Below are 23,025 nucleotides of genomic sequence, written 5' to 3'. Positions count from 1 at the left end.
GCAGTGAGGATCTCAAGGGACACTGATACTTACTCAGCCCCGACCAAATACCAGGCATTTGCTAATCAACTGCGTTAGGTAGTGTATCTCATTTAATGCCATGAGAATTCTATGAAGGTAGGTATTATGAATTTCTCCATGTTTACAGATGTGGAAAATAAACCTGGAAGAGGCTGAGTAATTTGTCAAATGTCAATACTAAGTGATAGATCCAGGATTTGAAGCCAGACCATTCCCAGTCCTCAACTATCCCACTGTCCCCCTACACAGGCAGCCTCTTCCTTGGAATCATGTGAAAAAACGAACTTCCCAAAGGGTACATTTTGCCATCTGATATGGTTTGGCTCTCTGTCCCCACCCAAATCTTACCTTCAATTGTAATAACTTCCATATATCATGGGAGGGACCTAGTGAAAGTTACCTGAATCATGGGGGTGTGTTTTTCCCCTGCTGTTCTCATGATAGTGAATAAGTCTCATGAGATTTGATGGTTTTATAAAAGGGGAGTTCCCCTGCACATGCTCTCTTGCCTGCCACCATGTAAGACATGCCTCTGCTCCTCCATCACCTTCTGCCATTACTGTGAAGCCTCCATAGCCATGTGGAACAGTGAATCCATTAAACCTCTTTTTCTTTACAAATTACCAGCCTTGGGTATGTCTTTATTAGCAGGGTGAGAATGGACTAATACACCATCTTCAAAAACATTCTACCCTGTGTACACAGAAATGGGTTCACAGAAGACGACAACCTTTTTCCTTTTATGGCTACTCCTCACTTCTAATGCTCTCCATCACAAATATGTTTCAGAGGTTAAGGGAGTGGAGGCTTAGTCACTTGTATGTTGACTATTTTAAACACCAATATCCAGCTCTGAAAATTCTCCCTTAGCAGTTTATTCAGACTATTATTATACAAAGCAAACACTTAGGCAATCTAATTTGTCTAAACATTTATATCCCACCCAATCTTTTTAAAACTTCAGGCTCTGCCAACCACTTTCTAAGCAACCTTGAAAGGCAGTTCCCATGGCTCATTTTGTGTCACATGAAAATATAAATGTCAGCATTGACAATGGTTTATTAGGTCCCACTGATAACTACAAAGTATAATACTTTGGTATTTTCCCAACATGGGCTCAGTCCTCAGATTTCGGCCCTAAGATCCATTACATTTGTGTTCTCAGAACTCCACTGAGATGCTTGGAACATAAATCTTCCAGCCAGACCCTGCTGCTTGTTGGGGGCCCAGCCTTTCCCAGGTCCAGGGAGCCCCACTCTGGTCAGCTGCTGGAACTGAGGAAGCTTGCCCCAGGTTCAGTTGTATCTAGGCCTTCAGCCACTAAGCCAGGCCTGAAAGCATGATGGGTACCCCTCCCTAGCAGCAATGGGCCTAAGGCCTAGGTTGGTGTGTAGTATATTTAAGGAGCCAAATGACACCTAGAACTCTGTAGAGTGACAATTTTGTATCACTCACCCTAAACAAAGGTAGACTTGTGCTTGGCCTACCAATTCCACAAAAGTGGGCCAGTCACCATCATGCCTTGTGGATAACTTCAAGATTGTAAAATAGGTGACTGAAGATGTCCCACCAGTATCGTCTTAATGTAACCCCTTGGTTGGAGCAGGGGGGTTAAGGTTTGTCAATGTCTACCTGTTTTGAAAAGATGGGTTTAGGTTTAGATGTACTTAATTTGAAGTCAAGCTGAGTTATATAAAGGAGGGGCTGTTTAGCAGAAGTTGGAGATGTGAGAATGAAGACCAGAAGAGAGGACAGGAATGGCAACAGACATAAATGACTGTTTCAGCTGAATCAAGTGGTGTGTAACTTCAGTCATAGCCAAGAGCCTGTTTTGCAAGCAGATTTCCATACAGGCTAACAGGGATAACTTTGAAGTTATCCCCAACTCCTTACTCTGCTCATACCCAGTGAACCCAAAAGTCTTACTAAGATTTCCTCTGTAATTTCTATTTTACCTCTCATTCACCTTGACTTCTAATTTGAAAGTCATCCTACATTCACTTTTGAGGATGAGGCTATATATATAGTCATTTGTTATTAATCAGTAGATTCTACTACTAAGAATATAGAAGGACAATTTTTTTTGTGTTGGTGAAATACAATCTGATATATTTTTATTCCTTGTGCTCCTATTTCCCCAAATCTCTCCACCTCCTGAAACTGAAGCATCTACATCCTCCTTCACAGCAAGGACAGATACAACTTTGAACAAGGGAGTCATTCCTAATCCTTGAAGTTTAAAATAGTGTTTTCTAAATCCCTGGTCTAGAGATTTATCTGCAAACAAAGCCTCCCCGCCGCCACCTCAGTAACAGTAATCAGGCTTTGTTCAAAAGAAAATAAAAATATATTTGTTGGTTTCAAGGAGGCGGAGCCTGGAGGACTGACCACAGAGGACACAGCTGACCTCCTATCCTGGGTGCTTTCCTTCCCATTTGGAATTCTGGGAGAAGACCACCCGCTGTGTGCCCTACATTAACAAGAGGTGGCCATGGTGGAGTAGAGAAGACGGAGTGTCATGCAGGCTTTGAAATATCTCCCTGGTTTCCCACAGCCTAGAGAGAGGTGAACCAGTTCATGCAAGGCTCAGTGTCATAATAAAAGTGTGAAGGGGGTCTGTGGACAATTAAAAGTCCAGGTTTTGGGCAAGAAGGATACAGACTGGCTGAAAGCCAAGGCAGGGATGGTCACCAGTTGCACAGTTAGAGCCAGCCCAGAGCACAGGTGAATGCAGGTATATCAGCCAGAGATGAGGAGAGATGAAGGCAGGCAGCCCAGGCCATGCTGGGAGGACAAAGGGCACCTCTAGGATGCCAACAAGGACCCAGAGGGCAGAGAGTGTTCTAATAGTCCTCCCTGTTACCACTGCCATCAACATATTCCTGATTGCAGAGGTCATCCTGGGGGAGTGGGGGCAGGAGGCAGAGAACCCCAGGTGGAAAATAGCCCTGGAGCTTGAATTAACTATGAGCCTGAATCTTTAGAAAAATTATCCCCAGAAAACTGTTTTAAACTAGATAAGAGAGTGAAAGTATAAGAATACTTGACAGTGTAAGTTTATATTCTACTGTCTTTGAAAATAAGACATACTAAGTTACATTTGTTTAAAATAGAAATATTTTTAAAGTAATGGTTCTCTTTGAGTCTGTTGCAGAAATTTAAAACCTGCTACAAGAGGTGTATTTAGCATCCAAAATATCTAACCTGCACTACAGCACACTGAACCAAGGTGTGGCAATACTTGGATCACAACTTTGTGATACAAATAATAAGATTATGTTGTAGGCATGGTTTCTCTGAGGCTGAAAGCACAAGTACTTTTCTCTTTTAAAAGAATAAAAATGGCCAGGCACAGTGGGTGGCTCATGCCTGTAATCCCAGCCCTTTGGGAGGCCGAGACAGATGGACCATCAGAGGTCAGGAGTTCAAGACCAGCCTGGCCAACATGGTGAAACCCCATCTCCACTAAATATACAATAATTAGCTGCGCGTGGTAGTGTGCACCTGTAATCCCAGCTACCTGGGAGGCTGAGGCAGGAGAATCGCTTGGACCCAGGAGTCAGAGGTTGCAGTGAGCTGAGACCAGCCACTACACTCCAGCCTGGGTGACAGAGTGAGACTCCGCCGCCAATAATTAAAAAAAAGAATAAAAATATAATATTTTCTTATAGTAACTTATCAAAATTAATATTACCAGGCTAAGTTTTGAGATAAGTTCCTTCAGCCTAAATCAAACAAAAGAGAAAAAAAAATCAAGATATAATTCAACCTCTTTCTCAGTAAACTGTAACTATTAAACCTTTAAAAAAGGCTATAATCATATGGCTAAAATGATCTTTTCCAACTCACTGAGAAACACTTCTTAGGATAAACATTCTCAAACCACTGAGAAAAGCCGCAGGACTTTCAGCACATTTGCTTTCAAAGCCCCTCTGGACAGAAGAATTCCTCCAATAAAAGCCTTCCTATGCCTCATCATCCGTATCAGAGCATTGGAACTAATTAACTGAAAAGATGGCTTTAATCTGCTTTTGTTAGTAGGAGCCCATGCTGTGTTTTTTTCTAACTACCTAAGCCCTCATTCTAACAGGAACAATTGATGCCAGTAATGATACCAGCAATGGCATGAAAGCTACGGAGAGCCCCCAGTCGGTACAAACCTGCGGAGATGGAGGGAGACCGCGAGACACAGCTAGGAGGTCCGCTGCTTCTGGGGAGGGGTAAGTATGAAAAAATCAAAAAGTAAAAAATGACATGCTTCTCCTAAGAAACACTTTTACGAAAAGAGTCTCTCCTTCCCTCAAAGCATTATTTTTAAGATTTTGAAATTGTCTATATATTGAAACTAATTTTACATAGGTAAACGTGTGCCATGGTGGTTTGCTGCACCTATCAACCCATCACCTAGGTATTAAGCCCAGCATGCATTAGCTGTGTGTCCTAATGCTCTCCCCCGACCCTCCCTCAGCAAGCTCCAGTGTGTGTTATTCCCCCAAAATAAAAATATCAAAAAATAAAATACAAAAGTACCAGAGCTCCTTGAAGAAATGGCTGATTTGATAACTGGGGCAGGGAATGTCCAACATGAACCTGGAGCATCTTGTAGTGCCAGAGAGTAAGGAAATACTGAACACATGCACACACACACATATGTGAGCACATGCATGTACACACACAGAATGACGGGGTTGTGCCAAAGGGATACCAGGGGCCAACTAAATTCAGTGACTAAGGCTTGAATAACTTGAGCAATAAATAAATAAAGTAGAAGTGAACTGTAGCCCAAAGTATAAAATAAATATCCATGGGTCCATACTGATATCAATAAATAAATGATACTGATATAAATAAACACATAGGAAAAAAACCTTAATTTTATCATACATCTACTCATTCATTCCAATGAACACTCATTAAGTGCCGTTATATGCCAGGCACTGTTCTAGCGAGTGAAGACGTGGCAGTGAACAAGACAGAGGAAGTCCCTGCTCTCGCAGAGCTTTCATTCTAGGGCAATAAGTAAACCAACTCCAAAAGTTTCAGATACTTGAGTGGTGAGGTATGACAGTGAAGGTCTCTTGCAGGGAGGGACAATCAGAAGAGAGGCCTGAATAATGAGGAGGAAGCCATAGGAAGATCTGGGGGTCAGAACATTCCCAGAAGCACAAAGAGCAAGTGCAAAGGTCCTGTGGGGTGGTGGGGAAGTGGGGAGTGGGAGCCCGAGTCGTGCTAGAGTGGAGTGAGAAAAGGCAGAGGAAGGTATGAGGCCAGAGGTAACTGATCATGTGTGGCTTGGCAGGTTATATGATCATGTGTGGCTTGGCAGGTTAGAGGAGTTTTCTAGGGCTGCCGTAATGAAATATCACAGAGTGGGTGGCTTAAATAATAGAAATTTATTTTCTCAGTTCTGGAGGCTGGAAGTCCAAGATCAAGGTGCCTGCAGGACTCGTTTCCTCCGAGGCCTCTCTCCTCAGCTCACAGATGTGCATATGCAGCCCTGGTGTCTCTGTATGTCCTAATCTCCTCTTCTTAAAAGCACAATAGTCAGATTAGGTTAAGACCCACCCTGGCAGCCTCATTTTAACTCAATTACCCTCCCCCCACTCCCCACTCCACCCCCTGCCTCGAGACAGAGTCTTGCTCTGTCACCCAGACTGGAGTGCAGTGGTACGATCTCAGCTTACTGCAACCTCTGCCTCCCGGTTTCCAGCGATTCTCCTGCCTCAGCCTCCCTAGTAGCTGGGATTACAGACGGCCTCAATTACCTCTTTAAAGGTCTTATCTCCAAATACAGTTACAATCTGAGGTACTGGAAGCTAGGACTCAACATGAATTTGAGGGGAGCACTATACAGTCCAGAACAGAGGGCAGGGAAACAAAGAGAACTCTGGATTTTTCCAAAGCACAACAGGAAGGCCACGGAGGGTCTGCAGTAGGACAGTGTCACAAAAGATAACTGCCTTCAGTGCTGTGTGGAGCACGGGCTATGGGGAGGGGTTGGCAGGAGGGAAAGCCAGAGGCCAGGTATGAGGGTGGCTGCAGCTGCCCAGCTGGAGACAATGGGGTACGCACTAGGGTGACAGCATGGAGGTGGAAAGAGGAGGACAGATATAGGTCATGGGAAGAAAAGAAGACAGGACCTGCTAACAGACTGAAGAGGAGTGACGAGAGAAAGGCCGCTCTTCAGGATGACTCCCAAGCATTTGGCTTGAGCAATGGGTAGATGGTGGTGCCATTTACCCAGGTGAAAACAGATTTTATTATATGATACACAAGGATAAAAGGGAAACATGATATCAACATATAATGCTAGGTTTGTCATCTGTAAGTCTAGAAAGAGGACATGTGGAAGCAGAAGGCAAGGATCAGTGCACAGTTAGAAAGTGAAGCAGCAACTGCACCATGAAACCCCGGGATCAGACAAAGAGGGGCAGGGAGCACAGCACTCTTCTAATTAGTTCAAAAAATGCCTTGGAAGAGGCTGGATTCTAAAAGCTGTTCAAATGGTGCACCCATGCCAGAGAATGTCGGATGTCTTCCAAAACCCATTATCTTCCAAAACAATAGACTTTTTAGCTGAGCTCATGGCTATCCCCTTCTAAGATGACATTTCTAGGCCTTCCTTGAAGCTAGGTGTTGCCACTGGGGTGCACTTCTGGCCAATGCAATATAAGTAGAGGTGGCCTATGACAACTCCCTGGAAATCTATGTTAACAAACAGCAGGTCTATGTCCTTTGCTCATTGTCCTCCCTTTTTATTCTCTATCCTGCCTCTTGAAATTGAAATACGATGGTTAGAACTTTGACGGCCTCTTGGAATGTTAAAATTAGGACCAAACCCAAGGGATAGAAGTTAAGAAATTGGAAGGCTCCAGGCCCTGAGGACTGTGTGGAGCACAGCCACTTTTAATCCACTTCTGTCATGTTTAAGTCACTTTATTTTGGGTCTCTGCTACTTAACACTGAACTAAATCTGAGCGGATACAACAGGCTAGGGAATAACTGGCACGTTGTGGGGGAGATGTTGGGGCTCAGTAAACAACACCCCAAAACGAAGGCCTCAGAAGTAAAAGGTTTTCTTTGACATTCTCCTGCCCCCCTGTCTCTCAGTCCCATTCTCCACCAAGGCTAGACAGAGAAAGTGAATCCCTCTTCTCCCAGGTGGGTCATAGAAACCAGAACCCCTTTTCCCCAAAGCCAACCATAAAACCTAAAAATATATTTCTAACTTTCCCAATGCTTTTCTGTGTAAAAACTGGCCATAAAGAAATTATCTGACCTACCTTGTTTGACAGTCATAAGAACCCCCCTCCATTCCAGAGAGGTCACCCAGAAGGAATGAATGCAAGCTTAGAGAGGCCAAGAAGAATCTAGATAGGCAGGCCCTGCTGAGTTTCCCCCACTCAGTCTATTAGCATTAGATCACATCCTTTTTGTCAACCATGTTTCTACATGGCTGTCCATACTTTGTTGAACCTAAGCATAAAAATGGATACTTTAAAAATATGGACACTTTTCCCTGTATCTTTAGGTCTTCGTTCTGAAGGGACCTATGTACACATGTTTCTCCAATTAATCTGGCTTTTGTGAGCTGATTTCTCAATGAGCCTTCAGAAGGCAAAGGGGAAGTTTCCTTGGCCCCCACAGAGACATTTACATATGTTCCAGGCATCCTTTCAACTTAGTGATAAACTGGATTCTAATGGATCTCTCCTAGTCCCACAGTGTAAGAGAATCATAAGGTCTGTGCTGATTTCCTAAAATGAAAACATGCTAAAAGACAGATAGGTAGGTAAAATCATAATAGCAGAAGTACTTGGATTAGAGGAGGCAGGGTACCAAGGACCACGGTTTGAAAATCACCTCCTAATACTAGCATTATCCAACTGATAGCTTTCTATGGTATGTCAGCTGACATCCTTCCCCAACCTTTTAGGAGCTGTATGAATAATAAATATTTGCAGGGTGAAGACAAGCTATACAGGTGGAGAGCCATCAATGCTGGGTGTCCATCTGCGAGTACATGAGGTAGGGAGGAAAGTAGCAGAGGTCAGCACTGGGGCTGTTTCAGGCAGCCCATATTCTCTGTGTAACACGGCCTGCATGCCACACCTTCCTCTGTCAAGTATATCTTTTTATTAAGAAAGAAACAGAAAACAAGCCCATACATATACGGTCAACAAGAGTGCCCAAATCATTCAATGGTGGAAAAATCGTCTCTTCAACAAATTGTGGTTGGACAACTGGATATCCACATGCAAAAGAATGAAGTTGGACCACTTTCTCACACCATTTACAAATACTAACTCAAAATGGGTCAGGGATCTAAAACTATAAATCTCAGAAAGAAACCTAAGTGTAAATCGTTATGGCCTCAGACTAGGTAATGGTTTCTCAAATAGGACATCAAATGTACATGCAGCCAAAGAAAAAATGGGTAAATTAGACTTCATCAAAATTTAAAACTTTTGTGCTTAAAAGGACACTATTAAGAAAGTGAAGAGACAACCCCACACTGGAAGACAATATCTGCAAATTATATATCTGGTAAGTATTCAGAATATATAAAGAACGCTTACACTTTAACAATAAAAAGACAGGCAACCTAATTTATAGATAGGTAAAGGATTTGAATAGGTATTTTTCCAAAGAAGACATACAATGGTCAGTAATATGCTCAACATTAGTCATTAAGAATAAAACAGGCCAGGTGTGGTGTCTTATGCCTGTAATCCTAGCAATTTGGGAGGCTGAGACAGGCGGATTGCCTGAGCTCAGGAGTTCAAGACCAGCCTAGCCAACATGGTGAACCCTGTCTTTACTGAAAATACAAAAAATTAGCTGGGTATGGTGGCATGCGCCTGTAATCACAGCTACTCGGGAGGCTGAAGTGGGAGAATCACTTGGGCCTGGGAGGCGGAAGTTGCAGTGAGCCGAGATAGTGCCACTGCACTGCAGCCTGGGCAATGAAGTGAGTCTCCAAAAAACAAAAGCACAAGAAACCACTTCACTCCCCACTAGGATGACTAGAGTTAAAAAGATGGACAATAACAAAGGTTGACAAGAATGTGGAAAACTTGGAACCCTCATACGTTGCTGGTGGAAATGTAAAATGCTGCAGCTGCTGTGGAAAACAATTTAGCAGTTCTTCAAAAAGGTAACTGTGGAGTTATCCTATGGCTGGGCACTTCCACTCCCAGGCATATACCCAAGGCCACACGATAACTTGCACGTGAATATTCATAGCAGCATTATTCATAATAGCTAAAAAGTGGAAACAACCCATGTCCATAAACAGAGGAATGGATAAACAAAATGATATATCCAAACCATGGAATATTACTTGGCAATTAAAATGAAGGAAGAACTGATCCACATGAACACATGGAAGGCCACTGAACTGCACAATGTAAAATGGCTATGTTATGTTCTATGAATTTTACCTCAGTAAAAAATAAAGAAAACAAAATAAAAAGCAAGGAAGGAGACAGGGCTCTCCTGATCTTTCAAACCAAGCCCAAATATTGTCTTCCATATTTCAATAAGCACCCTAGCAGGAAAAAGAATCAATGTGAAGAACCTGTTATTTGACTTGAATTCAATCATTCTAAGAAAAGTAGCAACTTAAAAGGACAAGTTAAACCCGAGTAGGCAGGGAAGGGTTAAGAAAAAGCTAACTCAGCAGGCCTGCGATGCTCAAACCTTGCATATTCCAGAGAAAGGCCTGCCTCAAGGACTGACCCTTGGAGGCTCCTGGGAGGTAACCTCTGGGTCCTTGGAATACTGTCCTGATAAGAGTGTTTTTGTATGTCTGAGAACATAGACCACCCAGTATTCAGGGTGAATGCCTGTTTTTGCTGGAGGGTAGAGGAGGTTGGGTTGGGAGAAACTAGAGGTCAGTCACACAGGTGCTGCATGCTTCTATGACTGGCCCCAGTAAAAACTCTGGACACCAAGGCTCTGGCATGCTTCCCTGGTGGGGAAGCATGTATCATCACACATTGTTGCTGGGAGAATTAAGCACATCCCTGTGCAACTCCACTGGGAGGGGATCCCTAGAATCCTGTGCCTGATTTCTCCTGGACTTGGCTCCATATGCCTTCTCCTTTTGCTAATTTTTATTTGTATCCTTTCACTGTAATAAACCATAAGTGTGAGTATGAAAGCATTTTTTGTTTGTTTTTGAGATGGAGTCTAGCTCTGTCGCCCAGGCTGGAGAGTGCAGTGGTGCGATCTCAGCTCACTGCAACCTCCACCTCCCAGGTTCAAGCAATTCTCTGCCTCAGCCTCCCAAGTAGCTGGGATTACAGGTGCCCCCCACCATGCCTGGCTAATTTTTGTATTTTTAGTAGAGACTGGTTTCACCATGTTGGCCAGGCTGGTCTTGAACTCCTGTCCTCATGATCTACCTGCCTCAGCCTCCCAAAGTGCTGGAATTACAGGCGTGAGCCACCGTGCCTGGCCTGAATGGGTTTTTAAGTACTGTGATTTCTTTTAGCAAATCATCAAGGCTGAGGATGATCTTGAGGGCCCTTGACACACTTAGGTCTTAAAAATTCAGTATGCTGGCACATCCAATGTACTTAACATACACATCAATCACACAGATGTAGAAACTGGGTATAATACCAAGTTACATGTGGGAAGACGGTGACACAGAGGTCACACAGCCACCGCCATAACTATGGCTACATGACAACCTAACTTCCCATCATGGAGGACCTGGGCATATTTACTGAGCCAGCCTTAACACGTGGCTAGTGAGGAGGTGTTCAGCCACCAACAGGCCAGAAAAGTTGGGGTGTCAGTCAAGAAGAGCAACTTTCACAGGCCAGAGCTCCGAAGAATCCCCAAGAACAAGGAAGGCAAATTTGTCCCAAAGCCTGGAAGGAAAGTGTTTTCCCCAAGAGTATGGCTTGAGGGAGGACTGCAGAGCAAGACCTGGAGAGAGGACAAGGCAGAAAATTCTGGGATGGTGCCTGAATATTCTCCTAGACTGGGACATGAGGCCAATTAAAAAATTTGAGAAATTTATGCTTGTACTTCAAACTGGTATTTCTAAAGAATGCTCTGTGAAGGAGAAGTGCAACAAGGATATTAATACATGTTTCACATATCATACAGGGGTCTATAATATGTTTGGCAAACACAAGGTTAAGCAATTTTATGTTTTGGGGTTGTTTTGAACTGCAGGACTTCTCAGAACCTTTAAAATGATACTCTGCACTATGCATTGTCAAGATGGTAAGATTATATGCAGCACTCCTGACTTTATTTGGCCACAGAATTCTCTTTCAAGCAGGATTTCAGAGATGTATGGCTCTAACAGACACCAGGGTTGAGAAAATTGCTGAACTAGTGGACTAGACACCCATACTTTATAAAACACAAATGCTTCCTTTCCAAACCCTTTTTTCATTGGTGCTGCTTTGTTTACCTTAATTTCTCAGTAAAGGTAACTGAGAAGCAGAGAGTGTACTGAAATGAGCACAGGCTTTGAAGAAAGATAAATCTGGGTGTGACCTCTGTTATTATGAGGATGAAAATGAGATAAAATAGTTTAGTAAGATACTGGCCATAAGAGAAGGCATCAAAAAATATATAATACCATTCCCTTTTTTTTTTTTTTTTTTTTTTTTTTTTTTTGAGGCAAGAGTCTTGCTCTTATCACCCAGGCTGGAGTGCAATGGCACAATCTTGGCTCACTGCAACTTCTGCCTCCCACGTTCAAGTGATTCTCCTGCCTCAGCCTCCCGAGTAGCTGGGATTACAGGTGCCCACCACCACGCCCGGCTGATTTTTGCATTTTTAGTAGAGAAGAGGTTTCGCCATGTTGGCCAGGCTGGTCTTGAACTCCTGACCTCGTGATCTGCCCACCTCAGCCTCACAAAGTGCTGGGATTACAGACATGAACCACTGCGCCTGGCCCGTCTCTCATCTTAATGCCTTTAAGCTCTTTACAATCGTTTGAGGGAAAAAGTTATCTTCACACTTCCTCCAGTAATAAAGGGAAAGCTGCATAGGATGGTGGTGGTGACTGGCCAACTCCAGGTCCCAGAAAATCTGGAAGGCTGGAGATTCCAGTGAGTGGGAACTCGAGAAGGATAGATTTGGAGTGGGCTATAAGGGGAGGCCTGTCCCAGCAGGGCAGGCCCCTTGGTTAGTGACACATGTGAGTTTCATTCTACTATTAAGAACAAACAGCTTTCCCTCTACTCATCCATTTCTCCTGGACAGCATCAGTCCCCATCCGGAATAACCTTTCTAGGAAGGGTGATAAGAGCTACCACATCTTAGTGCATCTTAGGTGCTGGGCAGTTTACAATAACAATCTCATTTATCCTCCCAGCAACTTGGAGTTTTTGAATAAAGCAAACGGACTCAGAGAGGTAGAATACCGTTGAAGGTCATAACTATTAAGTGGCAGAATCAGGATAGGAACTTGTATGTGTCTGGCTCCAACCCCACGTTAACTACTGCCCTCAACTCACTATGAACTCCATCCTCCCTCCAATGGGCCCCCTCTGCTTTCCAGTCCTGAGCCAACTCCTGGGGGTGATCTTGGGAAGACAGCTCACCCACATCAAGAGCCTGGGGTTTGATGATAATTGAATATATCTTCATCTTTCTACCATTCCATCCTTACAGAGTAGATCGCAGGGGGTCCTCTTAGACTCAAGTCTGTCCTCTGGGGACTGGTACTGTCTTGGATTGAAATTGGTACTTTGATGTGTTGGGTAAGAAGATTAATAGAGACAAATGTCTTCCATGTTGGTATACGATTAGCCAAGTGATTTCCATTTTCCTATCACCCATCAGCTCTGGGTTACAGGGAAACATCTCCTACCTCGTTAGGGTTTTCCCCAGAATCCTCATCAGAAAACGTACCCACTTTTCACCAGGGAAAGAGGTGAAAAGAATATGTGTTGGATGGACCACTGTGATTCACGGAAAAGAGGTGTTATAAACAAGCCTCGTGTGTTTATTGCCTGGGCAAGAACAAAAAATAGTCTTTATTGGAAACATGTATTTGATGGCATCTGGATCCATTTAGTAAGCATATTTATTTCATAACAATATGAGCTCATGATGCCAGGATGATTAATGAGCTTTTATATTCTACCACTCTTTTTGCCTAAATCTGCAAGTCTGTTAGGGAGTTTAATTACCTAAGATGGGGCAAATACACATTTTGGTTACTTTTTGTTGGAAGGAATCTCTTACTTGGAATTTATTTTACCATAGACGAGGTTGGAGAACATTGGAAACTCCTTTAGGCATCTTCAAAACCAGCAGCACCTGAATTCTCTGAAAATAATTTCAAAGTTCTTAGGTAATGTTCTTGTGTTTCCCCTGGGGGAAATACCGACCGAATCTTCCGATTGGGGAAAAACAAGAAAGGAGGAAAAGAATTTGGGCTAAAATTTTAATAAGACTGAAAATTTTACTACCAAACATATTTTTAAATAGGCAGGATGATACCATATATTATGACTACATTGGAATAGAGATGCTATTCTCTCCATGGCAAACTTCAGAATAAATTATGTCTCTCTTAAACTCCAAGCAGAAGCCCCAGAGAAACTAAACAGTTTGAACAGTGTCATGGCACTGTCCAACCTCTGAAAGGAGCACAAGACTCCTTCTTCTTTCCCCTTCACTCCTCACCTGGTGAGGAGCAGCACAGACAGCCCTGAGCAAAGGCCCAGCTGGTCACAGCCAGATGGGCCAGAGCTTGTGCCATGTTTCATGCAGTGGAGAGAGTTCCTGACCTTTGCATGGTGCAGCCCTTTCAATATGCCTCCCAGAGCAAGCTCACCTCCTGGTGGTATCTGGGATGAGATGTCCAACACTGCTAGAGGCATCTCACCCATAAAAAGGCCAAGAATAAGCAGCTCCAGCCAGTTCTGCCCATTAGCTCTTAGTGCTCTATCTTGGAGACGTGTCCTTCTCGACTTCTTGCCCTCTGATCCTGAAGGTCATAGCCAGAGTGGACCAGAGAAAAGCAACCAAAGAGGCCTGCTTTGGGCTAGGCAAAGGGGTCCTTGTGACCCAAAGTGGAGCAGCCCAAGGTTCCTAGTGTGAGGAACTCCTGGGAGGGGTCTGGAGACACAAGGGCCAGCCAGTGTTAAAGGGTCTATATTTGTCTGGTGGTGTTCCTGAGGTAACCATGCCAGAGTCACTACAATAGGCTATGACTAATCCAGCGCACCAGGAAACTATCCTTCCAAGGACCCAAGATGCCAGCATAAGGCCCAGTTTATAAGGAGGTACCACCTAGAGAGGGCACTGAATGCAAGACTTCTGTGAATGGTATCAATAGTAAGCTGGGAAAACTGGAAAGAGAAGATTCTGGAAGAGAACACATTCAAGACCCAAATATCAACTTCTGTCAGGCCCACAGCCCTGGCTTTTCCTCCAAAAACAAAAAGAAACAAGCAGAAATCTCATCCTCAATGTACTGCTTTCTCCATAGAACTGGCTTGTCTGAGTTCCACATAACACATTATTCTTTGCAACGTTAGAGGCCATTTGTCATTTGCCTTCCCATTCCCTCTTTAGCCAAAGCAGACAACACTGTCTGCCAGAGATCTGTAAAAAACTTAGCCCATGCTGACTGCCCCCCTCCTGACCAGGCAGCTCTTTATTCTGAGTGTATGTGGGCCCTACCTGAAGTGTTAGCCACTGTCCTGGATGAAGCAGGCAAATGCGCGGCGCCCAGAGCTAGTGATGCCTGAGTGTCTGTGCACAGTCATTCTGTGCTGGCTGCCAGAATCACTTGGGGAGTTTGTATAAACACAGTTTCCAGTGTTTTGCCTTGAGTCTCCTCCTGGGTAGGAAAGCTTATCCTCCTGGGTAGGAAAGCTTATCCTCCTGGGTAGGAAAGCATGGTGAGGAGCTATGTGATGCACACAACTCATACATGCAGACCTCGTATCGGGTGGGCAGGCCTGAGGCTGCATGCAGCCTTCTCCACATGCAGGCTGCCATTTCTAGGGACCAAACCAAGAACTCGCAGGGAAGTATGTAGATGACTGCAAGACCCTCCTGGGCCCTCTGCATAATGTTGAGTGGCAGGGGGTTGTAGGGCTAAATGAGGCGGCGGCAGGTGCAGCATCTTGGGGGCCATGGTGTTGGAAGAAGGGGGAAGGTGTGTACCATTCAGTTCTCCAGCTGATAATCTCTATCAGCTGAAGCAGGGTGACAGATCATGACATGCCACTGCCCCACCAGCCAAGCGGACTTCCTGCTGGCCCCAGGAAGAGAAGCACCCACTGGGCTAAGCATGGGCAGGAGCATGTTTGGATACAGATCCAAAAATCTGCATTGCCTGCTTCCCTTGCTCACTGCCCCCAGCACCCCACCCCCACTCCCACCCAACAAAACCATTCCACTTGGAAAAATCAAAGTAAGTGGATGTGAGGAGGTTCTTTTGCAGCTGGTGTGGCCACATCTCATGCATCAAGGCAGAAATGGGGCCGGCTCTGAGCAGCAACCCAGAGCCTCCCTGTGGGATGGGACCTGCTGCTGCTCTGCTGTGTCCCTGATTCAGCCATTTCCAGCTGTGTGTTCTGGCTCAGTGCCTGCATCAGCCCCTTTGGTTCTGGTGATCTCCTGGCCTTCCCTGGTGGGCTTATCAGACCTGGTCTTCTCTATTTGGGTCTCAGCCTTGCTCTGCCTACCCCTACCCTTCCGCCACCTCTGGTGTGCTCTCCAACCTGGGATGAGAAGCTGTCTGTCTAGCCCCAAGCCCATGGAATCTGATCAAACAAGGATGGAAAACGCTGCCAGGGAAAGGAGACTCACAACGACACTTGGCAGCTCACCTCTTACATGTGGAATGCGTTTCTGGGTTTGAGCATGCTACTTCAAACCTCAGTCTCTAGAAATAGATCCCAAAATAAACCAACCCTAAGCTTGCTCCCACAGGCAGACCTAGTCTGACCAAAAAATCAGAAGGCCCTGAAGTTGCTGTGGTGGACCAGTGTGGGCATCAGGCAGTGGAGTTCAGTCCCCCAGGAGCCCCCCACACTAAAGGGCTCGCTCAAAAGGCATCCCATCTAACATCATGCACTGCAAAGACTGAGTGATGCTTCCTCTGCTCCCTACAAGTTCCACTGGCCAGAAGAGAGGATATCTCCCTTGAGGTATCCAGGCAGGATATAAGTATAACTAAGCACACACTCAACTTCGAAACTCTGCATTGTAACTCAAATCTCATATTACCGGAGGAGGTCTCCAGGTAGCCCAGAGAAAATTATTTTTTAAAAATAAATTATTTCTCAAAAGAAAACAGAAGCATCAATTTACGTTCATCTGGAGAAAGGACAGCCCAGAACAGCTAGGAGAATCTTGGAAAAGGCAGAGTACTAGAGGGGAACTAGGCCTTGCAGATATTAACACATATTACAGAAGAGATCTCATTTTTTACCCAATAGAACAGCAAAGATGGAAAGAATGATTATCCCCAACACACAACGGTATATGTTCAAAGATAGTCACATTGTTTTAAATAGCAATATGCTAATAAAATAATAAAATATATTATGATAAATATAAATGAGATACTTGGAGCCGTGAAAAATCACGGAAAAATCATGTGAAAAATTATGTGAAAAATCAGGTCTTTGTTGGCCTAAAAGCTGTTTACAACATATTGTTAAATGCAGAAGGACAGATTAAGCAACATTATATACATAGGTTTTGTTAAAAAATTAAATAATGTGTAGAACAAAATATTAATGGAAGTTATTTCTGAGTGGTGAAACTGGAGCTGATTTTTTTCTCTTGCTTTTAGTCTCTATTTCTGCTGAACAACAAACAACAACAGAAAAACCCTCCAACCTGTAATGAAAGAAAAATTTTAGGCAATTAGAAAATAATCTTAGGGCAGAGAAATTTCCCTTGTCCTGCAGCAAAGGCCCAGATTATTTTAAATAAAACAGGACCTGTCCAGACAACACCTACTTTAGCAAATTCTTGTGTCCTAAAAGAAAATTATCTAATTAAACCCATATTCCTTTGGACAACGATAAAATCTCAGCAAAAAGATTCCCCTGGCTGTGATTTCAGAAGCTGGGAGTTGGTTCCTCAGGAAGAGGTTTATCAAAGTCACTTTGATGCTCTATTAGAACTTGCCAGCACAATGCATTTATTTATCTTGCTTGTAATTTCTTAATCTGGAACTTAATCGAGTTCTCATATAGTGTTCTCCTGCCAGACATTTCACTGAGAGTTTAAACTAGACAATGCAATCAAAAAGAACACATTATACATTCTAGATTTTTACTATAGTTTTTACTCTTATACTACAGCATCTTCATGGATAATTTTGAGGGGGATTGATAAGAGTTTAAAAAGCTGAACCCTGCCTAGAATATGTGCTGAGGAATTTAGTGAGAAAAGTGATGAGAAACTTCTATAAATACAGCATTTGATCCAAAAACATCAACCAAGCCAATCCTTCACAATCAGCAATCAAACTATCTCAAGTTCCCAGCTGTCCCTATGTGGCTTTGAAAGCCCCTGAACGTTAAGAAAACCTAACCAGAAGAGAAACTACTATTTTCCAGAACTCCTTCCAAGGAGGGCTCTGTAAATGGTTGCAAGTCCTCTGATAAGGGGGCCTTTGGTCATGACAACCACAGAGGTATGCCTGAGTGACAGGAGAGGTTCATCAAAATGCCTTCTGCTTTCTTCCCCTTAAACACATTATTTTTTTGTTTCTTGGTGAAGGGGTGTGGTTGCTAAACTGTTCTTTTTTAAAAAACTAATTTTATATTTAAATTTATTTTATTTTTTTAAGAGACAAGGTCTTGCTCTGTTGCCACACTGGAGTCAGTGGCGCAGTCATAGCTTACTGCAGTCTCAAAACCCTGAGCTCAAGCAGTTCTCCCACCTCAGCCTCCTGGGTCACTGGGACCACAGATGCCTGCCACCACCCATGGCTAATATATATATATATATATATATATATTTTTTTTTTTTTTTTTGGTAGAGACAGGGTCTCATTATGATGCCCAGGCTGTTCTGAAACTCCTGGCCTCAAACAATCCTGCCTGGGCCTCCCAAATTGCTGGGATTACAAGTGTGAGCTATCACGTCCAGCCCAATGTTATTTTTAATTGACAAATAAGAAATGTATGAATTTTATGGGGTACAATATGTGTTATGGCACATGTATACATTGCAAAATGATTAAATCAGGCAAATTAACATACCCATCACCTAAGATACTTATCATTTCTTAGTGATAAGGACAATTGAAGTCTACTCTTTTAGTAATTTTGAAATATATGTTATTAACTGTAGTCATGATGCTGTGCAATAGATCACTAGAACTTATTCCTTCTAACTGAAACTTTGTACCCTTTGACTAACAGCTCCCTCTTCCCCATTATAGCCACCATTCTACTCTCTGCTTCTATGAACTGAACTCTTTAGATTTCACATACAAGTGAGATAATGCAGTATTTGTCTTCTTCTGCCTGGCTTATTTCACTTAGCATAAAGTCCTCTACATTCACGCATGCTGTCACAAAGCACATTGTTTTTCTTTTGCTCAATGCAGCCTGCAAGTTTCAGAGCAGAGGTGAAATACCCAGAACAGAGGAGTGGCTGCCTCCAGTGGTCTTCCTTTCTCCCCTTTCTCCTAGCACAGCTTCTTCTCTAAACAGTGTAAATAGTTGAATATCGAAGCATCCACAATTCTTAACTTGCTGCTATGAAGAAACCAAGAATTTTAAACTAAAACTGCAAATGGCTTAAGTTTTAAAACTTCAAAATATATTAAAACATTTAGATGAGTACCATCAACAGTCATGTTACCTCATTCCCGCCTCTTTTAATGGTCATTCTGCTATGTGGTTATTGTTCCTCCTGTCCAACTCAGTAAGATAAAGGCGACTCAGACTAGAGACTCATGAAATAACAGGGCAGAACCTGAGATCACCAGGCAGGTGCTGAGGGTGTACCAGGGACTCAACAACAAAGGTTCTGCTTCTCCAGCCATTGAGGTGATTGAAATAAAAGGTCAGCACTGGGCTGTGTGCACGGCTCACGCCTGTAATCCTGGCACTTTGGGAGGCCGAGGCCGGTGGATTGCCCAAGCTCAGGAGTTCGAGACCAGCCTGGGCAACAGAGTAAAACCCCGTCTCTACTAAAATACAAAAAATTAGCCGGGTGTGGCGGCGTGTGCCTGTAGTCCCAGCTACTCAGGAGGCTGAGGCAGGAGAATTGCTTGAACCCAGGAGGCAGAGATTGCAGTGAGCCGAGATCGCACCACTGCACTCGAGCCTGAGCAACAGAGCAAGACTCTGCCTCAAAAAAAAAAAAAAAAAAAAAAGTCAGCACATATCCAGGGGTCAGTCTCAGTCTCACAGAAGGAGGGAAATATCTAAGGGGGGGACTAGAAGAGAAGAAATAAAGCCTCATCTGGTGGAAAAAGAATAGAGACACCAGATATGTATAGCTAATTTTACAGTATACATAGCTGATACCCCGGTCTAGTAGCAAAATAACAGTGGGATGGCTGGTTAATAACAGAAGGAGGCCTTTAAAAAGAAGAACAAAGTTGGAAGACTTACATTTCCTGATATAAAATGTGCTACAAAGCTACAGTAATGAAGACAGTGTGGTGTTATTGTAAGGTCAGACATATAGATTAATGAAATAGAATTGAGAGTCCAGAGAAATCCTTGTATCTATGATCAGTTGATTTTGGATAAAGGTACCAAGACCATTCAAAGGGACATAGTCCCTTCAACAAATCATGCTGGGACAACTGAATAGCCCCTCCAAAAAATGAAGTTAGAACCCTACCTTACACCATATACAAAAATTAACTCAAAATGAATCAAAGACCTAAATTTAAGTGCTAAAATTATAAAACTCTTAGAAGAAAACACAAGGGTAAATCTTTACATCCTTAGATTTGGGCAATGAATTCTTAGATACGACACCAAAAATATGAGCAACGAAAGGAAAAAAACAGATAAACCATCAAAATAAAAATTTTTGTGCATCAAAGGACTATCAAGAAAGTGAAAAGACAAATGGCAGAATGGGAAAATGTTTGCAAATTATATATCTGATAAGGTTCCAGTATCCAGAACACACAAAAAAACTCTCAAAACTGAACAACAAAAAGACATACAACCCAATTTAAAAATAGGCAAAAGAGCAGGGTGCAGTCGTGTGCAGCTGTAGTCCCAGCTACTTGAGAGGCTGAGGTGGAAGGATTGCTTAAGTCCAGAAGGTGGAATCCAGCCTGGGCAACATAGTGAGACCACCCTACTGTCTTTAAAAAGGAGGAGGAAAAGGCCGAGCGTGGTAGCTCACGTCTGTAATCCCAGCACTTTGGGAGGCCAAGGCAGGCGGATCACAAGGTCAGGAGTTCAAGACCAGCCTGACCAACATGGTGAAACCCTGTCTCTACTAAGAATACAAAAATTAGCCAGGCATGGGGGCACGTGCCTGTAATCCCAGCTACTCAGGAGGCTGGGGCAGGAGAATCACTTGAACCTGGGAGGCAGAGGTTGCAGTGAGCTGAGATTGCGCCACTGCACTCCAGTCTGGGTTACAGAGCGAGATTCCGTCTCAGAAACAAACAAACAAACAAACAAACAAACAAAAAAAAGAAGAGGAGAGCAAAGGACTTGAATAAATATTTTTCTGCAAATAAGATATATGAATGGCCAATAAGCACACAAAAACATGAAAAGAAGCTCAACATCATTAGCCATTCAAGAAATGCAAATCAGAACCACAATGAATACCACTTCACACCCACTACTAGGATGGATATAATTAAAAAAAAATAAATAACAAGGATGTGAAGGAAATGGGTTAATATTATGCTATGTGAATTTCACCTCATTAAAAACAATAGAAGACATATAAATGGGCAATAAGCTCATGAAAAGATGTATAATAATGGAAGCAGGGATGGGGCAGAAACAGCCAAAAGAAAGAAAAGAGCACTGAGGTCCATTACAGTAGCATTTCACAGGTTATCTCATTTAATCCTTTCAAGAGACTTCATGATGTCGATGTTATTAATCTCATTTTGCAGATGAGAAAACAGAGGCTCGGAGCAATTAAAAATCTAGTTATAGCTAATAAATGGCAGGGTCGGGATGAGGCTTCTCAACAAGTTACCAAAATGACTGCAACCAAGATTATAACTTAAAGGAATACGACGTTTTCAGATGCACTGAAAACTGGACCCTTGATTTTATGGCACTTTTACAATGTGATAACACATAAAAACCTGTGATAAAATTTTATGTCCATGAAGCCAGGGACACAAAGCCTTGGCCAGTGTGGAGGATAATGCAGGACAGGTGCTGCGCAGAGTTATGCACGCTGCTTGGCCAACTCCCTCAGCCCTGCTCTGCGTACTGATTCTCTGATCCAAAGACAAACACCCAGAGAGACTTGGCAGGAAGGTGCGTCTTGCCCGAGAGGCACAGACTAATAGAGACAACAGGCCTTAGGGAGGCTTCAGAGGTCATCCGGTCTTAGTGGGCCGAAACACATATCCACGAACCAGATGTATCTGAATTACCTGGGGAGCTCATAAAATGCAGATTCCTGGGCCCCATGCCAGACCTCAGGTGGGTAGGGCACAGAAATGACAATTTTTAAAAAGCTCTCCAGAGGGTAACCCTTATCTATTGTTGATGGGAATGTAAAATGGTACAGACACTTTGGGAAACAGTTTGGCTATTTCCTGAAAAGTTACACATAAGAGTTACCATTTGACCCAGTAATTCCACTTCTAGGTATATACGCAAGAGAAATGAAAACATACGCCCTCACAAAAATGTGTCCATGAATGTTCTAAGCAGCATCATTCATGACTCATCAACTGGATCAAATATCCATCAACTGATAAGTAGATAAATAACATGTGACATATCATACAATTGCCATATTATTGAGCAATAGAAAGGAATAGGCTATCAATACATGCTACAGTATTAATGAACCTCAAGTATGTTATATTAAGTAACAGAAGCCAGATGCAAGAGACCACACAGTGCATGATTCTATTTATGTGAAACATCCAGAAAAGGTAAATCTACAGGGGCAGAAAGTACATAGCTTACTTGTTGCCTAGGGCAGGGAGTGGGAGTGGATGGGGATATTACTGACATGATAAAAATGTTCTAATACTGATTTATGCTGATAGTTGCACAACTTGGTAAACTTACTAAAACTCATTGATTGTAAAATGTGACTCAATAGAGCTGGCTTTTTTTTTTTAAAGAAAATGTCCCCAGGTGATTCTGACGTTCCAGCAGATTTGAGAACCACTGAATTCCAATATACTTACTGTGCAATGAGGAACCTGAAACCCAGAGAGGGAAATGATTCACCCAGAGTCACAAAGTGAGTTCATACAGAGCCAGATTGCCTCTGATCTGTGTCTCCACAAAAGGAAATGGAACGCTAGGAGATGACCTGATGAAATTAACCAAAGGGGACTGCCAATCTCAATGAGTCAGTCCCCATTAAACCCTTTTCCCCCTTAACTCGCAGGAAGCTGGTTTGTTTTGCCTGACTGAACCAGGAAAGGGGCTCAGGAAGCAGCTGTAGGCCAGTGAAAGGACTACAGGCTTGGAGTCAGAAGGCCTGGGTTCAAACTTGGCCTTGAGAGTTCATCGTGATCCTGGGCCAGTCACTTCACTTCCTAGGGACTCATCTGGTTCATCCATCTGTAAACAAAGCCGATCATATCACCCTCCCAGGATCACTGCAGGACCAGTAAGGAAGATATTGAGTAATCCAGGTAGGAGATGATTTCCTTCCTGCCTAATCTGAAACCACAGATGTCCAGCCCAATCTGTTTATCTTAAGGCTACAACCAGAGCATCCCTTCCAGCCTGCAGGGCACTCACATTCCCTGACGCAAGCGCCACTCACCCACCCCAATCTTGGACCCAGTCCCAGCTTGATCCCAGTTCCCAGGTGCCATAAAACTCTGGAAAGGTGGAAACA

The 23,025-nt window shown here is 43.3% G+C and overlaps 1 protein-coding gene and 1 long non-coding RNA gene across 6 annotated transcripts in view, besides 2 other annotated features; one reads left to right on the top strand and one right to left on the bottom strand.

Moving 5' to 3' along the window:
* The window catches only part of THSD4 (thrombospondin type 1 domain containing 4), a 686,490-nt gene that overhangs the window by 465,409 nt on the left and 198,056 nt on the right, over positions 1-23,025 (bottom strand). The gene's annotated exons all lie outside the window — the stretch shown is intronic.
* LOC124903520 (uncharacterized) overlaps positions 11,642-23,025 on the top strand; it is a 15,761-nt gene continuing 4,377 nt past the window's right edge. The window contains exon 1 of the long non-coding RNA XR_007064700.1: positions 11,642-22,816. This is a non-coding gene — a long non-coding RNA (uncharacterized LOC124903520). The remainder of the gene's footprint in view (positions 22,817-23,025) is intronic.
* Positions 21,915-23,025: part of an enhancer, noted in NCBI's record as "P300/CBP strongly-dependent group 1 enhancer chr15:71587200-71588399 (GRCh37/hg19 assembly coordinates)", that runs on past the window's edge. NCBI's record gives its function as "activates an origin of replication core promoter dependent on BRD2, BRD4, P300/CBP, MED14 and CDK7 cofactors, with strong dependence on P300/CBP, by STARR-seq in HCT116 cells {active_cell/tissue: HCT116}" and the evidence as "EXISTENCE:reporter gene assay evidence [ECO:0000049][PMID:35650434]".
* Positions 22,371-22,665: a silencer, noted in NCBI's record as "tiled region #14552; K562 Repressive non-DNase unmatched - State 24:Quies". NCBI's record gives its function as "represses a minimal TATA promoter and a strong SV40 promoter by Sharpr-MPRA in K562 cells {active_cell/tissue: K562}" and the evidence as "EXISTENCE:reporter gene assay evidence [ECO:0000049][PMID:27701403]".

Source organism: Homo sapiens, chromosome 15, assembly GCF_000001405.40.
Source record: "Homo sapiens chromosome 15, GRCh38.p14 Primary Assembly".
Classification (NCBI taxonomy): Eukaryota; Metazoa; Chordata; class Mammalia; order Primates; family Hominidae; genus Homo; species Homo sapiens.
This window is presented reverse-complemented; position numbering and strand designations above follow the sequence as displayed.